General features: G+C 41.0%; 1 protein-coding gene across 2 annotated transcripts, besides 1 other annotated feature; it reads right to left on the bottom strand.

The window, feature by feature from the left end:
* On the bottom strand, positions 277-26,919 carry SLC26A2 (solute carrier family 26 member 2). 2 transcript variants are annotated; one of them, XM_017009191.3, is made up of 4 exons: positions 26,698-26,919; positions 9,326-10,049; positions 5,852-7,384; positions 277-5,748 (listed from the first exon to the last, which is right to left on the bottom strand). In XM_017009191.3, exons 2-3 carry the CDS (start codon positions 10,022-10,024, stop codon positions 5,864-5,866), a joined length of 2,220 nt encoding a protein of 739 aa, XP_016864680.1. In that variant the 5' UTR covers positions 10,025-10,049; positions 26,698-26,919; the 3' UTR covers positions 277-5,748; positions 5,852-5,863. The 2 variants fall into 2 exon arrangements, with proteins under 2 accessions (XP_016864680.1, NP_000103.2); NM_000112.4 differs by having other exon boundaries at positions 277-7,384.
* Positions 26,864-26,983: a silencer, noted in NCBI's record as "silent region_16504". NCBI's record gives its function as "represses an Ori minimal core promoter by ATAC-STARR-seq in GM12878 lymphoblastoid cells {active_cell/tissue: GM12878}" and the evidence as "EXISTENCE:reporter gene assay evidence [ECO:0000049][PMID:35858748]".

The raw sequence follows: 26,983 nt of genomic DNA, 5'->3' as shown, positions 1-26,983 counted from the left end.
CCCCAGCCTCCTGAGTAGCTGGGACTACAGGTGTGCACCACCAAACCCAGCTAATTTTTGCATTTTTAGTAGAGACGGGGTTTCACCACGTTGGCCAGGCTGGTCTTGAACTCCTGACTTCAGGTGATCCACCCGCCTGAGCCTCCCAAAATGCTGGGATTATAGGTGTGGGCCACTGAGCCTGGCCAACAGATGGTATTTTAAAACTCACTGGGGCCTAAATGTGTTTTAGTCAGAACCCTCCTTGCACTTAAATAATTTAAATACAGAGTAATGTATTATTAGAGTAACAATTTATTAGCAGACAAAACAAATGAAACCTCTAAATCTCAACACACATACAGGATCTTACATAATAAACAGCATAAAACATAAGCTTCTAGAAGAAAAGTATCTGCTATTAACCAACTCCCCCTCCTTTCCAGTAGGCTGCAATACATTAATAACTCATCCTCATCCCATAAGAGGGTTAAGCAATGATTTACATGGAATTACATCAAGGCACTTGCTTTAATTAAAAAATACAGTATAAAACATGTTCCTAAAAGTCATCAACCTTGAATAATTAAAGAAAAAACAGGCAGTATACTTTTTTGGTGAATAGACAAGACTGAGAATTTAAGTTCATTCACCTGTCACCCTGATATTGTCTTGGTTTGTGTACAAAGTTCCAAAGAAGACAAAAAAAGGTAGCCTATTACATAGATTGGTATGTTCATACACACTCATTTCTGAGAAACAGAAGCCATGGCAGCAACAGGACTCAAACCATAATTTTCCAACTGATTTGTGTTGAAAAGGCAAGGGCTATTTGATCCCATGTATCTTATTATTTTAGGGATGACGCATGAGATAAGGGAAGAGAACATCTCCAAAATAAGTTGATTAAAGCTTCAGTTGAAAGACCTTTTTGGCTTAAGTTGCTTAGCTATAGACTTACAAACATAGTATCTACAATAAAGGCATTTAGTGTCCTTCATTATTCCAGTTTTTAGACTTCAGTCCATTCTTTTCCAATTTTCAACACTGAGATAAAAAATACACACCAGAGAATCCACTATTTACTACAATGCTTACTTTTTAACTGTACTTAACATGTTTACTTTAAAATTTCAGTTGCAAAACTTTTTTTTAAGTCCTTATCAGGATAAAAATTACCTTATAAAAATAAATCTCCCCACCTCTGACATCTAAATTCTCCATCCCTGTAAGTTACTAAATTTTTTTTAAACCTTAAAAATTTACCTTTAACGTATTTCAATAGTATTTTAATACACGGACTATAATAACAAACCAGCTGGTATATTATTTTGTCCTTTTCCATTATAATTTTCATTCTTGTAATTAGCAACCAAGTTAATGATTGCATTCAGGATTATCTAAACTGTTTTTACAAAAAAAAACCCCACGAATTAGGAGCCTAACAGCTTTCTATTTTTTTAATTAAAAAAACTGATTCTTTTTAATTTTTTCTTTTTATTTTAGGCTCAAGGAAACTTCCCTGCTAGTGAAACTTCACTCTCAACACCACTCAATGATCTAACAGCTTCCTAAATCCAACTTCATTCTTTTTGCAGTTTAAGCCCAGTTTCAAATAAGGCATCACTGGGATGGATAAAGAAAACACTGAGATGGGGGATAGAAACATTAAAAAGCAGAAAAACTAAGCAAAATCTAAATCCTGTCAATTGGATGTTTACCATTTCACACTGAAATCTTTCCCTGAATAGACCAGGGACATCACTGCCTCCTGCTCAGATCTCAAAGCTTCAACATGCTCCACAAAGCACCTCCCTAAGTACCCTAGTGTGTTCCCTGGGAGAGTTGCTACACAGCCCATCTACTGGATTTAGTACCATAGTCCCAGCACTTGGCCCAGGGTCCTAGACTGCTGGGTAGGTCCTCAGAGGTATCTGAAGTCATGTCTACATTGATACAAAGAAACGTATGGCTCATCTGTAACAATACGTAGAGAAACACAATTAAGAACAATAAGGATCACAGAACTCGAATGGATCATTATAACTTCAAGACTCAGTTTAAGTTACCAAGAAATGCACTGTAGCCCTTTTCTCACTTTTATATTCAGATCAGGGCTAACCCTAACATGTTCTTAAATGACCACTTATGGTCATTTAAGTGGTCAATGGGAATATTGCAGCAGAGAACTGCTGTTTTGTTTAAACGTACTAGCCATTAGCATTAAAAGAGTCTAATGAACTCATCTAACACCTGGACACATTTTTAAAGTTCATCATTTACCATATGTAAATTTGACAACAATTTTGACTTGCAATGTCTGTTGTTCAAAAGCAAAGTCAGACTATCTAAATCTTGTTTTCCTTTGGTCCTACTTAAAAAAAAATTAGACATCTTGTCAGTTTTATTACCATCAGAGGCACAGATAGTACTACAGTCACTCAGTTTAGAAGGAAGACACCGTGCTCCAGAGTAGGTCAGCCCAGGCTACCATGAGCTCCTCAGCCCTTTCAGCTTTGGTGAATCTGTGACCCTGTGACCCTCCCCTTCTAGAAAGAGAAATTTGCTCTAGAAAGATACCTTGCTCTGGGAGGTATGGCTCCTAATCCTTGTCTCCCTATTATTGTGTAGAGGCTAACCAGGGATTGGATCCTATTCAACTGGGTTCCTCTCTTTTCTGCCTCCGCTGGTCAGATAATAGTCTTTTCAATGGTCTGTTCTCTTCACTCCTCTATAATGTTTTCCTTAGTCTACCTGTGCACTGGCACACTCCAACCCTTTGGCTGTAACAAACTTAAAAATAAATAAGGCTGTAAGAGTTCTAACCATCAAGAGTATACCACACTACGTTTCAATTAAATAACCATTTTATGATACTCAGAATCTTGTACTGAGAAAAAGCTTCATTTAGACTCTAAAGTTTAGAGTAAGCAAGATATTTTTGTATCAATATAGTGTTTAAAATAATGCTTAAAGAACTAAAGTCCTATCCTTTGGTCAAGAGAGCAAATGAAAACAGTTTTTTGTTTGTTTGTTTGAGACGGAGTCTCGCTCTGTCACCCAGGCTGGAGTCCAGTGGCACAATCTCTGCTTACTGCAACCTCCGCCTCCCGGGTTCAAGTAATTCTCCTGCCTCAGCCTCCTGAGTAGCTGGGACTACAGGCGCGTGCCACCATGCCCCGCTAATTTTTTGTATTTTTAGTAGAGACGGGGTTTCACAGTGTTAGCCAGGATGGTCTCGAACTCCTGACTTCAGGTGATCCACCCGCCTCGGCCTCCCAACGTGCTGGGATTACAGGCATGAGCCACTGCACCTGGCCGAAAACAGTTTTTTTATCGGCAAATTAGGCTTTGGTTCCAGGTTTCATTCCTCTGAATATCAGCAACCAAAACATTTTAACAATATGCAAGTATAGGCAACCTCAACCCAAGTAGAGAGGATGAAATGTAAATTCTAGTGACATCTTAAATGTTTCTACAGATGGCTACCAAAAGCAGAATCTCTTGTTTGGATGGATGGGACAAGTACAAACCAGAACATAATTCAAGGATTCGCTAACTGCATGCATAACGTTCCAGAACTGTTTACATCCACATATGGACAGAAATCGCTGGTAAAGGTCAAATCCTGTTATCCCTCCTTCTGAGGGATTTTCCAGAATCTTTGGCTGGAATTATATTTTTTGCTGTGTTGGTGTTGGCTAATTATAACATCTTAAGCATGTACTCATTACTCTGTCACAGGTTATTAGACACCTATAATAGTCTCAACTTAAGCCTGCCTTGGGAGAAGGGCAAGAGAGATTAAAAATAAATAACTTGGCCAAGTGCAGTGGCTCACGCCTGTAATCCCAACACTCTGGGAGGCTGAGGCTGAAGGATTGCTTGAGCCTGGAGTTTGAGACCAGCCTGGGCAACACAGTGAGACCCTCTCTCTAGAAAAAAATTTAAAAAATTAGCAGGGTGTGGTGATGCATACCTATGGTCTAGCTACTCAGGAGGCCAAAATGGAAGGATAACTTGAGCCCAGGAGTGGGAAGCTTCAGTAAGCTATCATCAAACTGCACTCTGGCCTGGATGACTGTCTCTTAAAAAAGAAAAAAGGAAAAAAATAAAGACTGACCAAGATACTGTGATTTTACTGCTATTATTCATAAGGCTGGATAGAAAGGGCAAATACTGGCTAAAAAACAAACAAGAACAAATACAAGCAGCAATTAACATTTCTGGAATTCCAGACCCAAGTTCTAAAAGGATGTCAAAATTCAGGAAGCCTACACTTGATTATAATCACCTATAAGACAGAAATCACCTATAAGACAGAAATCTAGACTTTCTACTGAGCAACTGCTTTGTTGTGATAATGGAAAGGTATTTTCCATGTCACCAAATGGGAGAGCTCTACCAACAGAAAAGCAACACTGGCAGCTTATGGAGCTAACAATAAAGCTAAGTTACATATATCTATATAGGATAATATAGATATAATAAAATATATATGCATTTTAAATATACATATTAAACATGTACATACTTAATATATGTCTAAAAGCATCCCACTCCAACAGATGCCCTACACATAGGGTTTGCTTCTCATAAATATTTAAAATTGTTTAGAAACTGGGAACAGATTGAAAAATGATTTTGTACTTTTGCAGTTTACTTTTTTTTTTTTTAAGATGGCTGTTTCATAAATTAGTTCCCTATTCCTAACTTTGGAGAACCTGGTTTTTTCTTACCTTTCAAGGTCCAAATATAAAACTATAAACTTTCAGTGTTGGACATTCTTGCTTTTTGAAAGCAAATTCCTCCTCAATTCATGACCTGTGGGCCAGCTATCATGAATAATACACCCATAGCACTTGGGTTTTATGAATGTGACTTCTAAATCCTCCTGCATAATAGCTTTAGGTGACTTGAAGAGTTAAAAGCTGTCATTGTCATCAATATTTACTGTACATCAAACTCATTTAAAATGCTGTTAGAAATTGCTGACTGGCAAGACTGTCACTGACAAAAACACCAGTTTAGGACAGATTCCATGGGAAACAAACTAGAATAACTGAAAGCTAAAATAGAGCTTAATGGTAGAGAAAGTCTCAGAAACAAGGACAGAGATCACAGAAAAGACAAGGAAGGACTCCTATTGTTTTTTCTGATTTTGAAGAGCTCTTTGTGCTTACCTATTTATCCTAAACAAAAAGGCATGAGTAAAAATTTCCAATGTATTACAAAGGGTATTCTGTCTAATGTCAGGCTGGCTCTCAGGATGTTATAAACCTGCCCAGGTATTAGACTTCTGATGAGACTGTGCCTTAAGGACAGGAATGGCACTTTCCTACTAAAAACTACTGCCATCTGGGGAGCAAAGACTGGGGATAGAAAACTACAAGAACAAACCTGTCTAGTTATGACTTTGTGATCCAGAAGCCTCTTGACCTATGGTACTAGAGCAGGTGCAACATTCTTTCCCTCTCTCCACTGAGCCACATAAAGAAGTCTACAGCACTTCCAATGTAAATCCCAACTTCACCGCTTCATCTCTTGGAGAATGCACAGTCCAAATGTATAACCCCTAAAACAGGAGAGTAATTAAGTTTTGGAGCTACTTTACAGTACAGTTCAATACATACTTATTGCATTCCAAGAATACTTCATATCTGCAAGAAAGCCTGAAACCGTATTTTCTTCTTTTTGACTCTGTCCAGCTACAAGCTCTGCTGCAGTGTGTATATACAAATGCCATTAGCTTCAAAGGAGGAATAATATCTAGCCACTTGGTTAAAATTTCAAGTGTGCAAAATTTCCCACTGTGGAACTGGGAAATGTTGGACACTTGAAATTTTAACCTATTGGCTAGACATTCTTCTATCTACCTTCTCAATTAATCACTACTAAGACTCAGACCATTGGGAACACATACTCCTTTCTGATTTTTAGATACTTCTGCAAAAGCCATCGCTTCATACACACTATAGAAGAGAAGGTTTTCTTCTTCCTTTTTGCAATATTCTCCGTTGGTTAGGGAATCCCTCACAGTGGGATTGCACTGAGCCAGCAGAACCTGGATTCCAATGGCTTCATAATCTCTGCGAACTTCTTTCAGTGTGTGGATCCCTGCTGTATCTAAAAATTGAATTGCACTGCAGTCAATCACTATAGTATGCAGCTCCAAGGGATCATGGGAAAGTTGCACTGACATTTCATCCTGGATTCCACCAAGAGTCACTACTTTTTCTTTGATCTTTCTCTTTGCTGCCTTCTTCCAAGCCACCTTTATTAAGATTGGGTTGACAGTTTGTTTGTATAAAGCAGATTTAAAGCATTCTTTGTTTATGTAGTAGAGAGGGGCTACAAAGCGGAAAATCTTGATGCCTGGCTTAATCTGAAGGTTCTTGTAAGCAGACACAGATTCAAAGACCTCAGACTCTTCCACCAAGCCAAGCAGTGAACTCTTTGGCTTCTGAGTGCGGAGGATGACACAAAATATAGAAAAACAAACCCCAACAAGTAGGCCTATTTCAGTACTTAGCAGTGCAGAGGACAGCATAGTAACAAACCAGATAACTGTATCCATTCTACTAATACTCCACATTTTGGGAAGATCCCTAAATTTACGAAGGGCTCCCCGTAGATTTACAATTGTGATCACACCAAGGACACTTTTTTGAAGGGAATAGAACAAAGGAGCTATTACTAGGAGGACCAACAAAAGAACCAGGGCTGTTACCACACCAGAAAGCTGAGTATGGCAGCCTGTTGATTCTTTAACCAATGTCTTTGCAAGAGCTGCACTAGTAGTAAAACAGTGGAAGAAGGAAGGGATGATATTACAAAAGCCAATGGCATACATTTCCTGGTTTGCTTTGACTGTGTAACCATGTTTCTTGGCAAACATCTCAGAAAGTGATACAGTGATAGCAAAACCAATGATGGAAATAGCTATTGCATCTACAGCCACACTAGGAATTAGGTTCCATTCTGGTACTTTGGGTGGCATAAACCCAGTGGGAATATGTCCAGCAATACTAGAATTATAATTTTCATGTAGTTTTCCAAAATGAGAGGCTAATGTGGCTGCTACAACAACAACAAGTTCAATAGGAATCGGTGCCTTAAGCTTGGATTTGAAGTGTTCATTGAGTTCTTTGGTTGGCAAAAGAACCAAAAGGCACAAAAGGCTGGTGATAAGATCACAGAGATTGGTCTTATGGATGTTTCTGAAGACATGTATCCAGGTAGTGATGAGTGAGCCCACACCATTAGTCCGAGGAAGGTTGAGCCCAAGAAGATACTTGGCCTGAGATGTAAGAATAGTGAAGGAGGCACCAGTGACAAATCCACTCAGCAAGGCATCTGAGAGGTAGACAGAAACAAAACCCACTTGAAAGAAGCCCATCGCTACCTGGAAGGAAGGATATAGAAGTGTTAAATATAAATGGAAAAGAACTTCTAAATTTTATATTATCCTGACATTTCTTGCATGGAGACATATCATCAGAGCATCACAGAATGTCAGAGCTAGAATAAACACAATCATATATCAATCTTCTCATTTTACAAAGATGAAAATTATGTTTAAAGGGCTAAGCAACTTGCCCAAGGTCACACTGTTACTTATTAACCCAGGTGAGACAGGAACTTTGGATTTCTTTCTTTTCATACGTTTCTTAAACTTGAATAAGGTTCATACCTCTTTTTTTTTTCATTCTTCCCATCACAAAGAACAGACCTCTTTTAAAAGAAAAACATTCTCAAGGATCCACAAGAAAACTTCAAATTGGAAAAAATTATTCTAGTTAAGAAACCAAGTATTTTCCTTAAATTACAAATCACTACTGTAAAAGTGAAGTCTTACGGCTTCTCAGCCTCTTGGCTAAGAGCAAGTGTACAAGTGAAGTTTTAATTGGTAAAACAAAAAATTAGATTTACATCAAAGTAGAATCACACTTTAAAAATTATTGTAGATTATCTTTAACCTCATACTAAGAAACCATTCTCATGCAGTATATATGTACTTATGCCACACTGTCTCCCATATTAATAAAAATTCTGCATTTTTACTTCTTTATATTTTCCTCTGTCTAATAAGTTTTCAGAATTGTTATGCCTTCTTCCTTCTTGGTGGGACATACTAACAAAAAGGCAAAAGTTGGTTGGGCGTGATGGCTCATGCCTGTAATCCCAGCATTTGGGGAGGCAATATTGGGAGGATCACTTGAGCCCAGGAGTTTGGTCATAGAGAGACCCTGTCTCTTTATAAATAAATGAATAAATAATAAATAAGTAAGTAGACTTATTATTTACCATTATATATGAGTAGACAGCTCATCTTCACACCATCTTCACTCTCCCTCCCCACTCATCTGAGCACCAACTAAAGTGAGCTACTCTTCCCCTTCCCTTGTTGGTTTGAAATGCCTGCATTAGAGAAGGTTTAATCCTGGCACTGACTCCTGGATGCCAAAAGCCAGGGGCATGATGATAATGACAGATTAGTGGATTCTATGGGAGACTCAAGAATTTGATTTCTTATCCTTTCTCCTGGCTGATAATATGAAACTGTGGTCCCCAACTTTTTCCCTCCCTCCCCAACAATCCAAGACAACCACTACCTTTAGTAAGAGTTGCTCAATAGATCAGCAATTTTAATGGAAGGTAAGAGACATTTAGAATTTGAGGCTGGGTGTGGTGGCTCATGGCTATAATCCCAGCACTTTGGGAGGCCAAGACGGGAGGATTGCTTGAGCTCAGGAGTTTGAAACCAGCCTGGGCAACGTGGCAAAACCCTGTCTCTACAAAAAATAAAAATAAAAAATAAAATAAAATAAAATAAAATAAAATTAGCCAGGTGTGGTAGCATGTGCCTGTAGTCCTAGCTACTCAGGAGGTTGAGGTAGGAGGACTGCTTGAGCCAGGGAGGCGGACGTTGCAGTGAACTAAGATAGTGCCACTGCACTCCAGCGTGACAGAGTGAGACCCTGTCTCCAGAAAAAAAAAAAAAGTGAGAAACTCCTGCACTCTCAACTCCATTCTGTTACCCACTTGCCTAACTGCTAATGCTGACTCTGCCAATAACCAGCCACAAATAATCTCAAGCAAAGCCAAGATTTTCTGACATGTAAAATTAAGGAGTTGTACTGGGTGGTGGAGGTCCAGTGAACCAGCCTTATATTACCTGTGGAGTCAGGTTAGGGTTTGAATTTTGCCTCTACCCTTCATATATCCTGAACTCTCAATAAATGATACCTTTAATTATTGTGATTCCTCAGATCCCTTAGAGATATGAGATTTCATGTACTAGATTACTTTTCTAGAAATAACCAATTGTTTCATTGCTGCTTACCTGATAAACTCCAGCTATAAAGGTTACAGTGCTGCCAACCATAATTGCATAGCAACTTTTGTCACATATCCTGTCTGATGTATGATTTAATAATGTGCTCCCATTTGAAACCATTCCTAAGGAAGGAGCACTATGGGCATTGTCATAGCCAGCTTTCTGTAGTTCTCGGTCAACTGTCTCACCAATCATAAGGCACAGTACTCCAAAAATGCCCACAGAGATGTGACGGGAGGTACCCAAGAGAAAATAAATGATGCTGGCAAAAAAAGATGTGTACAGACCATAGACAGGTTCTTGGCCAGCCAGCAGGGAATAAGCAATGGACTGGGGCACCAATAATATGCCCACAATCAAGCCTGACATCACATCCCCTAAAATGTTTTTCTTTAGGTCGTATTTTGGGAGCCACTGCAAAACAGGAAGGAAACCTAAAATCATATTTTTGGCTTTGGCTGGACTGCACTGGCAATTCTTCTGCAGCTTTTTAATAACAAACTCCTTGAAGTTTGTATCTGATTTCTCTTGACGCTCAATAAGGATCCTATGATAAGGTCTGCATTGATCATTGGTCTCAAATTGCTTGAAGTCAGTACTTGATTCCCTTTGAAGTTCCAGATGGATCCCAGATGGATAACTGTCATTTCCTTCAGCTGAGTCTCTGGGTGAAACGTTATGTTGCTCTTTACTTTCTGAAGACATTTCTGGAGATAGATGGTTCAGCTTCCTACACCAGAGAAAATACCAGTGTTCATCAATAAAGTAATTCTCAGTGCTCACATATACTAACAATTCTATTTGTCATTTCATGAGAGTTAAAAGGAATTCAGTTTTGGAATAGGTATCTTATGTCCCTTTTCCTTAATTGAGCCTCATTTGTCTTGGTTAGGGGGAAAAAAAAAGACCAGAACCAGACCTTAAACAGCCAAGTCAAAGCAAATAACTGGCTGGGTACAGGACTTCCCAAGAGTATAAACCATTAAGGATTCTTCTCCATATATGCCTGGCTCCCCCTGGCAGTTTTTCCTCCTGAAAAGATGTAAGGGCAGCCTGTCTCCTTTCCATACATATGCTACCAGCGGTCTTCTTCCCAGGTTTTTCACCTCCCAGGCAGACTGCAAAATAGGATCTGGTCTTAACCCCTACCTTAACCTTAATGCCTGCCTACCAGTCCCTGAAACAAGGAAGATGGTCCTGTTTTATTTTTTGGTCCCTTTTTAAACAACCTGCTAAATGTTGAAAATAAATAGAAAAGTAGGTTGTAGGGTAAAGATAAATGTTTTTAGCAATAAAAAGAAACTAGGGCAGAATGCATTTGCGTCTTTGAACAGTACTCCCTTGCTTGGTAGGAAAGAGGAGAGAGAAGTCAATATGAGGGTGCTGAATGTAAAGGGCATGAAGAGGGTCGATGGGCCAAGTGTCTCATACATGCTGTAGAAGGTTTTTGTCTATTCCACTATGTTCTAGTATGGAGTCATCTGCCCTGTGGGCAGGGCCTACATTCATGCAAGATTCACTTTACTATTCTAAGTACACACACTGAAACACAGGTTAAATAGAGAAATAATGTTGCCCTGCACTTCCACTTGGAGGCAATACAGGTGATCCTTCATCTCTGTGTCCTAGACTATAAAACTAATGCCATAAGATCTACCATGAGGAACTATAGGAAAACAAAGGAGGTAAAAATAGCCAGAAAAAGAGAAAGGACAACAACAAATAGTAAGTCTAATAACCGGAGTAAGAGAAGAAAATGAACCAGGCTCTCAAAGGAATAGAACATAAATTGTTTACCAAATGCTTCATGAATTAGTGCCTTTACATAAGCTGTTTACTTAGCTTAGAATGGCCATCCACCTCTTTGCCTGTCAAGATCCTAATAATTTTTTAAAACCCAGTTACAATGCTACCTTTTCCAGAAAGCACTAACCAATCTCCCCTAGCCCAAATGAAATACTACACCCTCTGTGTCCCATAGCATGTTGCACCTCCATTAGAGTACTAACCACACTCTTGTATTAGTGAAGTAGGAATCTCTCTAGCTCCTGGAGGAAAGACATCTTGTTCATCAGTGTAATCTGAATGGAATGTAGTAACGCTGAGATAGCAGGCTTACAAAACATTTGAATGAATGAATGAACAAATGAACAAACATTTGTGACTGTGGCCAGATAGAGACATTTTTTTTTTTTTTTTTGAGACAGAGTTTCACTCTGTCGCCCAGGCTGGAGTGCAGTGGTGCAATCTCAGCTCACTACAACCTCCACCTCCTGGGTTCAAGCAATTCTCTTATCTCAGCCTCCTGAGTAGCTGGGATTACAGGTGCATGCCACCACGCCTGGCTAATTTTTGCATTTTTAGTAGAGACAGGGTTTCACCATATTGGTCAGGCTGGTCTCGAAGTCCTAACCTCAGGTGATCCATCCGCCTCAGCCTCCCAAAGTGCTGGGATAACAGGCACGAGCCACTGCACCCAGCCGAGACAATATATTTTAGATGAAGGACTCAGGAAGTTTCTTGTTTTGGAACTGACAGAAAAATGGGCCCTTGTGAAGTTCTATAAACCTTACGTTACCAAACTGCCAAAATCCAGGACCTATGACTTATTCAAGAACACAAGATATGTAAAAGTAACCCATATTCATTTTGTTTAGGTTTAACATGAGTAAATATTTTGATGGTCTTCTGAAGTAGATAAGGAAAGAAAGAATAGACTTAGGTGACCACTGACCCTGAGAAAATCAATCAGGTTGATGGATACACCCAGCAGCTCTTTGCTCTACAATGCAACCAGTCTGTGACTCTCCTGTCATTTCCTGCTTTCTAGAGCTAGCTTGAGTGCACCAACGTCCTATTTTGGAGAGCTCTTGGTGATTTCTGGGTGAAAAGGTTTTTCCAAACCTAAGATATGCAAAAGAGACATAAGAAAAAACTAAGGGAATCCAAATCTTGCCCAGTATGGCTGCTATCTGGGAAGAATATAGATAAAAATTCACATAGAAAGTAAAACAAAGAAATGGAAACTGTAAGAAAAAATCAAATAAGGAATGCTAAAAGTGAAAAACACAGTAACAGAGATGATGAATGCCTTCGATAGGATCATTACTAGACCTGAAAGCCAAAGAAAGAATCGATGAACTCAAAAAGACAGATAAACAGAAATTAGCTAAACTAAAACGCAGAAAAGTTTAAATAACGAAACAAAACAAAAAACCCCCAATATCAACAATGTAACATAACATCCAAGAGCTGCGGGACACATCAAAGTATCAAACATATGCATAATTAGAATACCAAAAGAAGAGAGAGAATGGGCAGAAGAAATATTTCAAGATATAATGGCCAAGAAATTTCCAAAATTAATAAGAGACATCAAAATATAGATCCAAGTAACCTGAGGCCAGGAGTTCAAGACCAGCATGACCAACATGGTGAAACAGGGTCTCTACTAAAAATATAAAATTAGTCAGGCATGGTGGCACACGCCTGTAATCCCAGCTACTCGCGAGGCCGAGGCAGGAGAATCGCTGGAACCCAGGAACTGGAGGTTGCAGTGAGCCGAGATCACGCCATTGCACTCCTGTCTGGACAGCAAGAGGAAAACTCCTTCTCAAAAAAAAAAAAAAAAAAAAGGCCGGGTGCAGTGGCTCACACCTGTAATTCCAACACTTCCGGAGGCCAAGGCAGGCAGATCACAAGGTCAAGAGATCAAGACCATCCTGGCCAACATGGTGAAACCCCGTCTCTTCTAAAAAAATACAAAAATTAGCTGGGCATGGTGGTGCGCTCCTGTAGTCCCAGCTACTCAGGAGGCTGAGGCAGGAGAATTGCTTGAACCTGGGAGGCGGAGGCTGCAGTGAGCCAAGATCGCGCCACTGCACTCCAGCATGGTGACAAAGCAAAACTCTGTCTCAAAAAAAAAATACATATATATATAATATATAATCTATCTCCAAGAATCTTAGAGAATTCCAAGAAGAGTAAATATAAAAACAAAAAGAAAACAAAAACCCTCACCTACACATATGATATTCAAGCTGCTGAAAACAAAAGATAAAGAGAAAATCCTGAAGACAAAGAAAAAACATATATTACTTATACAGAAACAAAAATAAGAATTATAGCAGACTTCTTATTGGAAATCATGGAGGCCAGAACATGATGGAGTGGTATCTTTGTATCAAAGAAATATATATCTTTTATAGAAATAGGGTCTTGCCCTGTTGCCCAGGCTGAAGTGCAGTGACATGCAATTATGGCTCACCATGGCCTCGAACTCCTGGGCTCAAGTGATTCTCCCACCTCAGCCTCCTGAGTAGTGAGGATTACAGGTGTGCACGACCAAGCCTGGCTCATTTTTTAATTTTTTTTGTAGAGACAAGGTCTTGCTACTAAGCTCCCCAGGCTGGTTCCCAAACTCTTGGCCTCAAGTGATCCTCCCACCCTGGCCTCCCAAAGTGCTAGGATTACAGGTGTGAGCCACCACATCTGACCCCAGAAATATAACTTTTAACATAGAATTCTTTACCTAGAAAAAATATTTTAAAAGATAAGAGGCCAGGCATGGTGGTGTGTGCCTATGGTCCCAGCTACTTGGGAGGCTGAGGTAGGGAGACTGCTTGAGCCTAAGAGGTTGAGGCTGCAATAAGCCATGATCACACCACTGCACTTTAGCCTGGGTGACAGGGAGAGACTCTGTCTTAAATAAAATAAAATATGAAAAAGAAATAAAAACTTTCTCAGATAAACACTGAGAGGATTTAAGGCCAGCAGACCAGCACCATATATATGTGGGGGGAACGGGAGAGAGAGATGAGGGGAGACAGGGAGAGAGACAGAGAGGGAGTGGGAAGGAGAAGAAGAGATGGGGAAAGAGAGAGAAACACAGAGAGAGACACACAGAGAGAGAGAGACAGTTTCAGGAAGGTTCTTTAGCCAAAAAGAATACACCAATCAGAAATTCAGTTCTACATAACAAAGAAAGTCCAGGAAATGGAACAAATGAAGATAAAGTAAAATTCATTTTTTCAATTAAAAAATGTTTAATTGCTCTAAAAGATAACTGTTTAAACCAAAAATGGGAATGTACTTTATAGCATATGCAAAATAAATGTGTGACAACAACCACACAGAATGGGAGGGGGAATTGGGAATTTTAAAGTCTTTTTAAAATTTTCTGATTATTATTATTTTTTTTAAATAGAGATGAGGTCTCACTATGTTGCCCAGGCTGGTCTCAAACTCCTGGGCTCAAGTGATCCTCCTACTTTGGTCTCCCAAAGTGCTGGGACTACAGGCATGAGCCACCATGCCCAGCAAACTGTAAGGTCTTATACTAGATGTGAAATGGTATCTTATTTGAACATAGGCTCTGATTAAACATGTACATTTAAACCTAAGAGTAACCACTACATTTTTAAAAAGGTATAAGTAATAATAGTAGAGATAAAATAGAATCATAAAAAAACTCTCAACTCAAGAGAAAGTAGAAAAGGAAGATAAAACATAAAAAACAGATGGAACAAACGAAGACAGCCAGTAAGATGGTAGAGTTTAATCCAAACATATCGTATTAAATATGAATGGTCTAAACATGCTAATTAAAAATGGAGACTGTCAGATAGGATTAAAAAATAAGACCCAAGTATATGCTGTCTACTTGAAACCCACTTTAAATATAAAGACATACATAGGTTAAAAGTGAAAGGACTGGCCCAATTTAGTAATTTATTCAGCTTATAAATGACAGAGCAAGGTAATAAAATGCATATTTTGGGATCCCAAGAATAGATCCTTTTTTAATATGGTACTACTCCTACCACCTATCTATAATTAGCTTCTCTAATTTCAGATATTTCTGAACACCTTAAAATTCAGCTACTCTACACATTCCAGTTTCACCTAGCTGCTACACAAAGTGATCCAGTAATAATATCAACAATGTTGTTCCCAACTCTCCCTTTCTCTACATTCATGGCCATGGTCCTTTCCCATCTCTAGCTCTTAGAAACTTATGTATTCACTCAGAAACAGTCCTACAAGTATGAACCCACAAAGTTCCATAATCATGCTTTGGTTTACCTCTGTATGTATGCTACAAACTCACTGCTAAATAAAACTAGAAGCTGCTGACTACTATGATTATGGCATCTAAGCAGGGGAGAAATATGAAAGAGTTTAAGAATAGTTTGTTTAGAAAGTTTTCAAGGGAGGAACATATCTAACCTGGGCTCTGAAGTCTAGTTCAGGTTTGAAAGGATGAAAGAAGACTTGGAATATGGGTAAGGGAGAAGAAAACACAAACAGCAATAGTTCTAATGTTGGAGGAAAAGAATCAGAAATGAGAATGTTATGTTTAAAACAGAGAATGGTTATGGGGGATTAGTGGGAGGAGCTTACAAAGGTACCTGAGGGGGATTCTGGAGGGCCCTTTATGCCGGGTTAAGAAAGCTAGACTTGAATCTGCAGGCAATGCATAGGCCCTGAAAGATTTTGAGAAAGTCACTTACTATATCACTCATTTGGCAAATAATCATATATCTTCTGGTCTGATGTTATATTATTTCATTCTTTTTCCACTAAAGCAACTAATATTTTACCTTTTGTCTTTTACAGATAAAAAATAGTTGAAGGTGGTTTTAGAAAAACAAAACTAGGCCAGGCACAGTGGCTCACACCTGTAATCCCGGCACTTTGGGAGGCTGAGGCGGGTGGCTTACTTGAGGCCAGGAGTTCGAGATCAGCCTGGGCAACATGATGAAAACCCATTTCTACTAAAAATAGAAAAGTCAGCCAGGCGTGGTGGCGCACGCCTGTAATCCCAGCTACTCAGGAGGCTGAGGCAGGAGAATCGCTTGAACCTGGGAGGTGGAGGCTGAAGTGAGCTGAGATCACACCACTGCACTCCAGCCTGGGTGACAGAATGAGACCCTCAGAAAAAGAAAAGAAAAAAGAAAAAGAAAACTAAACTATAAACAGGTACAACCAAGACAGATTCTCCATGTATATAGTACCATCGGATCCTCTAACTCACTGTTGTCAGACAAGTCCAGGGAAGATCACAGCACTATAAAGGCCCAGGGATGCCAAGGATGAGCAAAGCCTTCTGTATTCCTCTCCATTTCATTCACTGATGCCTACAACCAGGATGGCACAGGCTACTTTCCAGGCCCTTGCCCTAGACTGAGAAGTTAATACTGTGAGAGGAAAAGGATCCTTTGGAGGAAAAGACAACAACTCATCAGAGGAAAACTCAGATCCATCTGTGTTAAATGGGCCTGCAACCCATGCTTACTCCATTAATGTCCTCAAGTGTCAACAAGCCTTCTCCAGCTGGATTGGCTAACTTTTCTATGTGAGCTCCTAGAGGTTGGGTACTGGTCTTCATTAAATTACACACATATTTTAAGCTCCTACTATAAGCTAACCACTGTGCTAGACACAATGCATCAGAACCTAGACCCCAAACTTAGGTGTCAATCTTTCTTTCCCCTATGCCATGCTCCCATATATAATCCATCAGTAAATCCTGTCTGTTGTGCCTTGAATAATATATTTATCCTCTCCCCACTGCCCAAACTATTTGTAATCCAATCCCTTCTCACTATTGTCCTACCATCCTCTCTCACCTGGAATACTCTAATAGCCTGCAAGATCTGAACACTGCCTCCCTTTTTGCCCTTATTTCCTACTGGCTTTTTTGCAGTTGCTGGAACATGCCAAGTTGATTCCATTCTTAGGGTCACTGTACTTGCTCAAGTTGTCTTTGCCTAGAATAATAATCTCCCAGATCTATACAGGTATGTTCTCATCCTTTGGGTCTCAGCTTTTATTTTTCTTTTTTAGTGACAGGATCTCACTCTGTCACTCAGGTTAGAGTGCAGTGGCATGGTCATAGCTCACTACAGCCTTGAACTCCTAGGCCCAAGCAATCCTCCCACCTCAGCCTCCCAAGTAGCTAGGACTACAGGTACACACCACGATACCTGGCTAATTTGTTTTTATTTCTTTGTAGAGACAGGGTCTTGCTATGTTTCCCAGGCTGGTCTCGAACTCCTGGGCTCAATCAATTCTTCCACTTCTGCCTCCCAAAGTGCTGGGATTACAGGTGTGAGCCACCATGCCTGGCCTCAGTTTATATGTCACCTCCTCACAGAAACCTTCCTTGACCATCCCAACCAAATAAAATAACACCTCCTTCCCAGCATTCCCTATATCCTTATCTGGCTTTATTTTCTTCATAGCACTTCAGACTTCTGAAATTATATTACTTATAAGCAAAACTATTATTTACAGTCTTTCTTGTACTTATTATATTTCCATTATCAAGAACGATGCTTAGCACATACAGTAGAGGTTCAGTAAATTCTTGCTAAAATGAGTAATAACCCAATTTCTACCCAAAATCAGTGGATTAAGACAGAGTTTTAAACAGCATTCTAGGTACCATAACAGAAAGGTTTAGAGTATTCTGAGAGTGGAGAATACACTGCAGGCCAACGTGAAGTAGGAAGCTGCAACGTTAATAGAAAGGGAAAAGGTAACTCAGGCAAGTGAAAGATCACAGTATAGTCCAAGACCCAGGAAAAGGTCACACTAGGTTCCAAGGGTGAAGTTGTAGGAGATAAGGCTGGAGTGAAGGATTAGTTTTTATGCAATTCCAAGAAGTCACGAGTTCATCCTCTAAGCTACAGTTACCAAAGGCCTAACTTCCAAGGCAGGAAAGGGCAGGAGGTTTGCCATTTCAGTGGTACAACTAGGTAAGAGGTGGTGCTTAAAGGACATACACAGACAAATCTAAGATGAAATCTGAGAAGGATCACACAAAAGGAAGGATGATATACAGGAAGATGGAGAAGAAAATGGAAAGATAGGAAGCAGCAAAAAATCTGACTTTGGGTTTTTTAGATTTGAGATTTTTATAATATGTCCAGATGGTGTGTCCAGCAGGCAATTAGAAATGTGGTTCTCAAGTACAGGAGAGAAGCCAAAATTGGAAAAATAAATGGGGCAGAGTGAAAGGTCTACAGTACCTCATTCTCTGCTGAATTCCATTTATATGTTCAATAAACGTTTGTTGAATATGTGCTTTATCTTCCTAACTAGATTAAAATTATTCAAGATGTTCTACACTTTTTGTGTACTATCATAATACCTAGCATAGAATTAGGCACATACAGGAAGTATCTAATAAAGTTTTTGATGGACAGAATGGTTTTTATTTTAAAAAGTTATTTTAACAAAAACTTTTCCAAGAAGAATTAGCTTTGACTTTTGTTGGACAAAAATTTTTGTTTCTTTAAAAGACATTTGAGGCCGGGCACAGTGGCTCACACGTGTAATCCCAGCACTTTGGGAGGCCAAGGCGGGTGAATCGCTTGAGGTCAGGAGTTCGAGACCAGCCTGGGCAACATGGCAAAACCCTGTCTCTACCAAAAATACAAAAATTAGCTGGGTGTGGTGGTGTACACCTGCACAGCTGTAACTCAGCAAGCTGAGGCACAGCTACTCAGCAAGCTGAGGCACAAAGAATCACTTGAACCCAGGAGGTGGAGGTTGCAGTGAACCAAGATCGCGCCACTGCACCCCAGCTGCGGCAACAGACCGAGAGTCCGTCTCAAAAAAAAGACAGTTGAGGCCGGGCACGGTAGCTCACGCCTGTAATCCCAGCACTTTGGGAGGCCGAGGCAGGCGGATCACAAGGTCAGGAGATCAAGACCATCCTGGCTAACATGGTGAAACCCCATCTCTACTAAAAATACAAAAAAAAAAAAAAAATTAGCCAGGCATGGTGGCGGGCGCCTGTAGTCCTAGCTACTCAGGCAGCTGAGGCAAGAGAATGGCGTGAACCCAGGAGGCGGAGCTTGCAGTGAGCCAAGATTGCGCCACTGCACTCCAGCCTGAGTGACAGAGCGAGACTCTGTCTAAAAAATAACATAAATAAAATTAAAAAAAAACAGCTGATACATTTGATACATTGCTGGTAGAAATGTAAAATGGTGCCAACACTGTGAAAAACAGTTTGGTGGTTCCTCAAAAAGTTAAACACAGCACTGCTATATGACCTAGTAATTCCGCTTATACTCAAAGGACTAAAAACTGTAACTCGAACAGATATTTGTATACTAATGTTCATAACAGCACTATTTACAATAGCCAGAAGGTGAAAACAATCCAAGTGTCCATCAACAGATGAACAGATAAAGCATGGTATAACCATAAAATGGAATATTATTTGACTATTAAAAAGGAATTAAGTTCTGATACTCTTCATCTACAACATGGAGGAAACTTAACACCCTTATGTTAAGCAAAAGACAGACACGATGCAAACAAATAAAAAATAAAAAAAAAGAGCTGGATCTAAAAAAAAAAAAAGGACACAAAAGGACAAGTATTGTATGATTCTACCTATACAAAATATCTAGAAAAGGCAAAATGGGCCAGGCAGGGTGGCTCATGCTTATAATCCCAGCACTTTGGGAGGCTGAGGAGGGAGGATTGCTTGAGCCAAGGAGGTCAAGGTTGAAGTGAGCTATGATCATGCCACTGCACTCTAGCCCAGGTGACAGAATAACAACAACAACAACAAAAATATATATATACACAGAGAGAGAGAGAATAGGCATATACATAGAGAAAGAAAATAGAGTTTACTGGGTACTGGGGGAAGTGGTGTTACTGGTTACAGAGTTTCCATTTCAAGTTTTGGAAATAAATAGTAGTAATGGTTACACACCATTGTGCACGTACTTCATGCCACTGCATTGTACACTACATTAATATTAGATGAAGGAGATTTCAGGGACAAAAACTTTACAAAATGCAAACTAATCAGTCCTCAAGTTCATTTCCTGACACCTCCACCAAAAGAAAGAAAGAAAAAAAGTTTATACTAATTTATAGTGACAGAAAGTAAATCAGTGGCTATTTCGGGATAGGAAGTAAGGTGGGGTAGGAGAGAGAGATTACAAAGGGGCATGAGGAGATTTTGGGGATTGATGGATATGTTCACTATCTTGATTGTGGTGACAGTTTTATGTATATATATAGAGAGAGTACCTTTGAAATATGTACAGCTTATTGTATGTCAATTATACTACAATAAAGCTATAAAGTCTAATTCTTATCTGAAGGGGAAAAGAGTAGCTTGAATATAACCTGTTACATAATTTTCTTTTTCTTTTCTTTAAGAGACACAGTCTCACTCTGTTGCTCAGACTGGAGTGCAGTGGCATGATCATAGTTCACTGCAGCCTTGAACTCCTGGCCTCAAACAATCCCCCACTTCAGCTTCCAGATTAGCTGGTATTATGGACACACGCCGCTGTGCCCAGCTAAGTCATTTTGTTTTCAATTGCAGTTTATATTTCAATTCCTAAGAAATCGTCACTGAATGTTCCAATACTCTGGATACGCAGCCTTGGGAAATGTATTTCTTAAGTCCCCAGACACACACAACTTTGGGAGGAAGTATCTAAGCAAGGTTTTATTTCTTTTTGTAATATTTTTCTAAAAACAGTTATATTTAGTTTTAAAATATGACAGCTTCATTGGATAGATTTGATGACATATTAATCAGATACAGGTTGAGTATCCCTAATTCAAAAATCCAAAATCAAAAATGCACCAAAATCTGAAACTTTTGAGCACCAACATGATGCTCAAAAGAAATGCTCACTGGAGCAATTTGGATTTCCAGATTAGAGATGCTCAACTAGTAAGTATAAAACAAATATTAAAAAAAAAAATTCAGAAATTGGAAACACTGCCAGTCCCAAGCATTTCAGGTAAGGGATACTCAACCTGTACTGGGATTTTCCTAAGAAATCTAGGCCATTTAAAACTGAGCTTCACAACCTGTTGTAAATATGGTGTGATATGCATGTTTGTGTATGTGTGTTTAAGTAACTGCTTTTAACACATAACACAATCTAAAACCATAGGCAGTGAGGGTCAGTAGAAAAAGTAACCTGTTGTCAGGAGCCCTGGACTCCAGGCAAGTCATAACCCTCTGTCCCAACCATGAGACAGTTCAAACTAAATGATCAAATCATTAAGTGGTAGTTTTCCTGAATTACAGGACTTTAGAGCTAGACAGAGATCAAGAAATCCAACCGCCATGATTTTTTGGTAAGAAATAAGAGTTCAGCTGGGTACCAGTGGTTTACAACTATAATCTCAGCACTTCGGAAGGCCGAGGCATGCGGATCACTTGAGCTCAGGAGTCCAAGACCAGCCTGGCCCACATGGTGAAATTCTATCTCTACTAAAAATCCAAAAATTAGCCAGGCGTGGTAGCACATGCCTATAATCCCTGCTACTTGGGAGGCTGAGGCACAAGAATCACTTGAACCCAGGAGACAGAGGTTGCAGTGAGTTGAGATTGCGCCACTGCACTCTAGCCTAGGTGACAGACAAGACTCTGTCTCAAAAAATAAAATAAAATAAATAAATAAAGGTTCAGATTAGTGAAATCATTTGCTACTTAAAGGCAGAGATGGATCCAGAACCCAAGTATCCTGACTCCTAACCTTTTTCCTCTAATAGATTGCCTATGCCAGTCTCTGTAAGTGTATATACATCAGATAATTACAGGAAAACTAGAGTCGACCTAAAAACAACCTAAAGATCTCAAGTTTGTGGAAAACCTGAAGTCTTAACATTAACCCAGCATTAATGTGAACAAGTCAACAACCAAAGTAAGTCTCCTCTCTTATATGGAAAAATCTCAGACTAGACTGGTAAGAGCTACAGTGTAAGAAAAAAAAATAATTAAAAATATATTTTTAATAAAAATAAACTAGACTAGAATATGTAGTTTAGAAATAATTTTCCAATACTTCACACAGCTTTTTTTTTTTTTTTTTTTTTTTGAGACAGAGTCTTGCTCTGTTGCCCAGGCTGAAATGCAGTGGTGTGATCTCGGCTCACTGCAACCTCCATCTCCCAGGTTCAAGCGATTCTCCTGCCTCAGCCACCTGAGTAGCTGGGACTACAGGCGCCTGCCACCATGCCCGGCTAATTTTTGTATTTTTAGTAGAGACAGGGTTTCACCATGTTGGCCAGGATGGTCTCATCTCCAGACCTTGTGATCCGCCTGCCTCGGCCTCCCAAAGTGCTGGGATTACAGGCGTGAGCCACCGCGCCCAGCCACACACAGCTTGTAAGTAGGGGAATCATGACTTGAACAAGCCTGCCTGATTCAAACGTATACTGTCGCTTGATTGCTTATTTTGAAGCTGTTTTTAAATCTTCAGAAAAGTTGAAAGAATGATACATGGAACACTTCCATACTAACAATTCACCTATTTAGCAATTTTACAGTTCATAAGATGTTAACACACTCTCTCTCCATACTTATATGGGTTTTGTCATTATTGTTTTTCAACTATTTGAAAGTTGCAGGCATAGTTCAGCCTTAAACACTTTATTGAACCTACATTTAAAAAAAATTTTTATTTTGAAATAACTGTGGACTTGCAGAAAAGCTGTAAAAATAGTACACAGTTCCTGTATAATGGTCACTCAGTTTCCTCTAATATTGAACCTACATTTTTTTTTTAATTTTTTATTTTTGAGACAGAGTCTCACTCTGTTGCCCAGGCTGGAGTGCAGTGGCACAATCTTGGCTCACTGCAAGCTCCTCCTCCTGGGTTCATGCCATTCTCCTGCCTAAGCCTCCCAAGTAGCTGGGACTACAGGTGCCCGCCACCACACCTGGCTAATTTTTTGTATTTTTAGTAGAGACAGAGTTTCACCGTGTTAGCCAGGATGGTCTCGAGCTCCTGACCTCGTGATCCGCCCGCCTCGGCCTCCTAAAGTGCTAGGATTACAGGCGTGAGCCACCACGCCTGGCTATTTTTTATTTTTATTTTTGAGATGGGGTCTCACTCTGTTACCCAGGCTGGAGTGCAGTGGCATGATCTCAGCTCACTGCAACCTCCACCTCCTGGGCTCAAGCGATCCTGAGTAGCTGGGATCACAAGTGCACGCCACCATGCCCAGCTATTTTTTTGTATTTTTTGTAGAGACAGGTTTTCGCCGTGTTGTCCAGGCTGGTCTTGAACTCCTGAGCTCAAGTGATCTGCCTGCCACGGCCTCCCAAATTGCTGGGATTATAGGCATGAGCAAAGGAAGAGCCCAGCCTGAACCTACATTTTTAAAGCACTATGCCTCTTCTTCAAAAGAAGCATTCATTAGCAAGATGAGGTCAACCATTTGGATATGCTCCCCAAAAATCTGCACTGGCTCCCTATCTCCTACCAAATATGGTCTAAAAACATTGGTATAAGCTTCTATGCATGAGCCTAAAACTGCCACTGTCTTGCTTCCTCCTATGCACTAGTGTTCCAATCACCAGTCCATGAAAATATCAAGCAGCCTTTGCCCTTGGGGCCTTTGCTCATTGCCCAACCTCAAATGACACCTTATATAAATCGGTCCCTTCCTAGATACAATATATAAAACAGAGGCCAGGCACAGTGGTTCATGTCTGTAATCCCAGCGCTTTGAGAGGCCAAGGCAGGAAGATCACTTTGAGGCCAGGAGTTCGAGACCAGCCTGGGTAACATAGCAAGATCTTGTCTCCACAAAAAAAAAAAAAAAAAAAAAAAAGTTAAACAAATATGCAAAATAGCAGGCCGGGTGCAGGGGCTCATGCCTGTAATCCTAGCACTTTGGGGGGCCAAGGCAGGTGGATCACCTGAGGCCAGGAGTTCGAGACCAGCCTGGCCAACATGGTGAAACCCCCTCTCTACTAAAAAATACAAAAAATTAGGCCAGGCGCGGTGGCTCACGCTTGTAATCCCAGTACTTTGGGAGGCGGAGGCAGGCGGATCACGAGGTCATGAAATTGAGACCATCCTGGCCAACATGGTGAAACCCCGTCTCTACTAAAAATAAAAAGATTAGCCGGACGTGGTGGCACATGCCTGTGGTCCCAGCTACTCAGGAGGCTGAGGCAGGAGAATCACCTGAACCTGGGAGGCAGAGGTTGCAGTGAGCCAAGATCACGCCACTGCACTCCGGCCTGGAGACAAAGTGAGACTCTGTCTCAAAAAAAGAAAAAAAAAAAAATTAGCCAGGCGTGGTGGCATGTGCCTGTAATCCCAGCTACTTGGGAGGCTGACAAAGGAGAATCACTTGAACCCAGGAGGCAGAGATTGCAGTGAGCCAAGATGGCGCCACCGCACTCCAGCCTGGGCAACAAGAGTGAAACTCCATCTCAAAAAATAAATAAATAAATAAATAAATAAATAAATAAATAAATATAGCACCACTGCCATTGCTGCCATTTCCATGTCTTCCTCCTGGGCCCAGCCCTGCCTTGCACTCCTATGCCCTTTATTTTTCTCCATAGCTCTTCTCACCATTCCATACCACACATTGTTAATTGTCTTTCACATGAGGGCACTGACTTGCTCTGTTTTGTTCAAAGCTGTATTCTCAGTGTCTTGAACATGTCTTGCACCTAATAAATGCTTAGCAAGTATCTGTTGAGTGAATTAGAATTTAACAGCTATATGATAAGGAAAAAGGAGTTACTTTCCCCATTCTCACTTAACTCTCCAACCCCACTCTTCCGCCCCCACATGCCAAAACCAAGCTTATGTCAAGAAATTAAGCTTGGCAAGCATCTGCCTGGGGGTTTACATTCACTAAAAGCGTGATTATCCTTCTGTCAATCATGGGGGAAAATAAAAAATAAAAGTGTGGGCAGGGCACAGTGGCTCATGCCTGTAATCCCAGCACTTTGGAAGGCCAAGGCAGGAGGATTGCTTGAGCTCAGGAGTTTGAAACCTGACTGGGCAACATGGTGAAACACCATCTCTACAAAAACTACAAAAACTAGCCAGGTATGGCAGCGTGCACCTGTGGTTCCAGCTACTCAGGAAGCTGAGGTGGAAGGTTTGCTTGAACCCACGAGGTCAATGCTGCAGTGAGCCTAGATCGCGCCCCTGCACTCCTAGCCCGGATGACAGAGTAAGACCTGGTCTCAAAAAAAAAAAAAGTCAAATCAGAAATTAAAAAAAAGTGATTTTTTTCCCTCAAAAATTACCCCTAGCCCAGAGTATGTTCACCTCTAGATCTTCCCCTAGGAGGCAGCACATTACAGTACAATAATTGTCAAATACAGAGAGCCGTTAGCTTCTTAGGACCATCCCTGCAAATCCAAGGATGAGATCCAGGACTCCACACGCTAGATGATGCTGAACGAGTGAGCTTAGGACCACACTTGGAGAATCACTGGATGTGTTCTGGAAGTCAAACAGATCTCTGTTCAGATCCCAGCTATACTGCTCAGCAGTCATATGGCAATGGTTTTGTAAAACTTCACTGTACTCAGCATCAATTTCTGACCTGTAAAATGGGGTAACATTACCTAACTTGCTGGTTTGTAAGGCTAACACAACTACCTACCACAGTGCCTGGCACATAGCATTTACTCAATAAACGACAGCTATTAGTCTCTGTCCCTTGCTATATCCTGCCTTGAGATTCCTGATTTTAAAGGGTCCATTCCTTTCCCACAGCTTTGGCCCTCCATTTCTTATTGATTCAATTTTCAAAAACAAAAAGTTCTGCTTAATCTAGTATTGCATATCACATTAGTTGTAGATTTCACATAAAGAACTGTTGGGGACAAGGAGAAAAGACAGGTTAACTAGAATGGGCGCCGGAAGGCAATTTAAGTTCTGAATGTTTCTAACTCACTGTGATCCCCAATCTGTGCAAGGAAGGAGCCCAGGCTGATAGTCTATGAGTTTGGAGAGCTGGGTACAAGTCCTAGCTCTGCAAAAGACTTGCTGTGTATTTTTAGGCAAGGCTCTGGGCCCTCTCTGTCTTCTCAGTGTTTCCATCCATCCAGTGAAATAATACCAACTTAGTGTGTGAGTCCGAAAGAACAGGTCCTGATTTTGTACTTAATCGGGTGTGTGATTTTTAATAACCAAGATAACCAAGCCGTCTCGCCTGTGCCGGCCTCAGTTTCCCCATCTGTCCGAGGTGGTGGTGGCTCCTATCTCCTCGATCCCTATTCCAGATATCTAGGTTCGAGACGGATCAACGAGGACTGGAAAAGCAGCGGAGTGCGTGGCACCCGGCGAGATACGGCGAGATACGCGGGATGGAGGGCGGGTGGGCAGCCGCCAGCCAGACGGGCAGGCCCGGATCACCAGGGTGCAGTGCCACTCGCCCGGCCCCGGACCACCCGGGAAATAACCTGACGCACGCCCCGCTCCACGGCGGCGACCCCTGATCTGGGATTCTACCGCGCGGGGACCCAGGCAGAATGACTCTGGGAGGGGCCCGCTGACCGCTTGGCGGCCAGCACCGCTCCCTCCCTCTTCCCTGGTCCGCTTCCCTCTTCTCACCTCTCGGGTCCGGGCCGCTGCAGGCAACCAGGCGCCGCGGCACGCGTCTTCCACCGTGGCCTGACTGAGGTGGACACCGCGGCGCCGACAGAGCTATACCTGCCTGTCCCTTTCCCCGCCCATCGCTCGGACTCCGAAGGAGGCGGGGCCCGGCTGCCGGGACCTACGGGCGCGGCGAGGACGCACCGGCGAAGAGATGCCGGAGGCAGAGCCAGTGTAAACGCCCGCGGCCGAGGCCGTCACGTGGTACTGCCGGGCGAGCGACGCTACCACCAGCCAATAACTC

The sequence above is a fragment of the Homo sapiens genome, chromosome 5 (assembly GCF_000001405.40).
Source record: "Homo sapiens chromosome 5, GRCh38.p14 Primary Assembly".
Classification (NCBI taxonomy): Eukaryota; Metazoa; Chordata; class Mammalia; order Primates; family Hominidae; genus Homo; species Homo sapiens.
This window is presented reverse-complemented; position numbering and strand designations above follow the sequence as displayed.

Coding starts and splice junctions, on each gene's coding strand:
- SLC26A2 (NM_000112.4), bottom strand. CDS start 10,024: ATGTCTTCAGAAAGTAAAGAGCAACATAACGTTTCACCCAGAGACTCA. Junction 7,385..9,325: donor TTATAGCTGGAGTTTATCAG/GTAAGCAGCAAT, acceptor CCTTCCTTCCAG/GTAGCGATGGGCTTCTTTCA.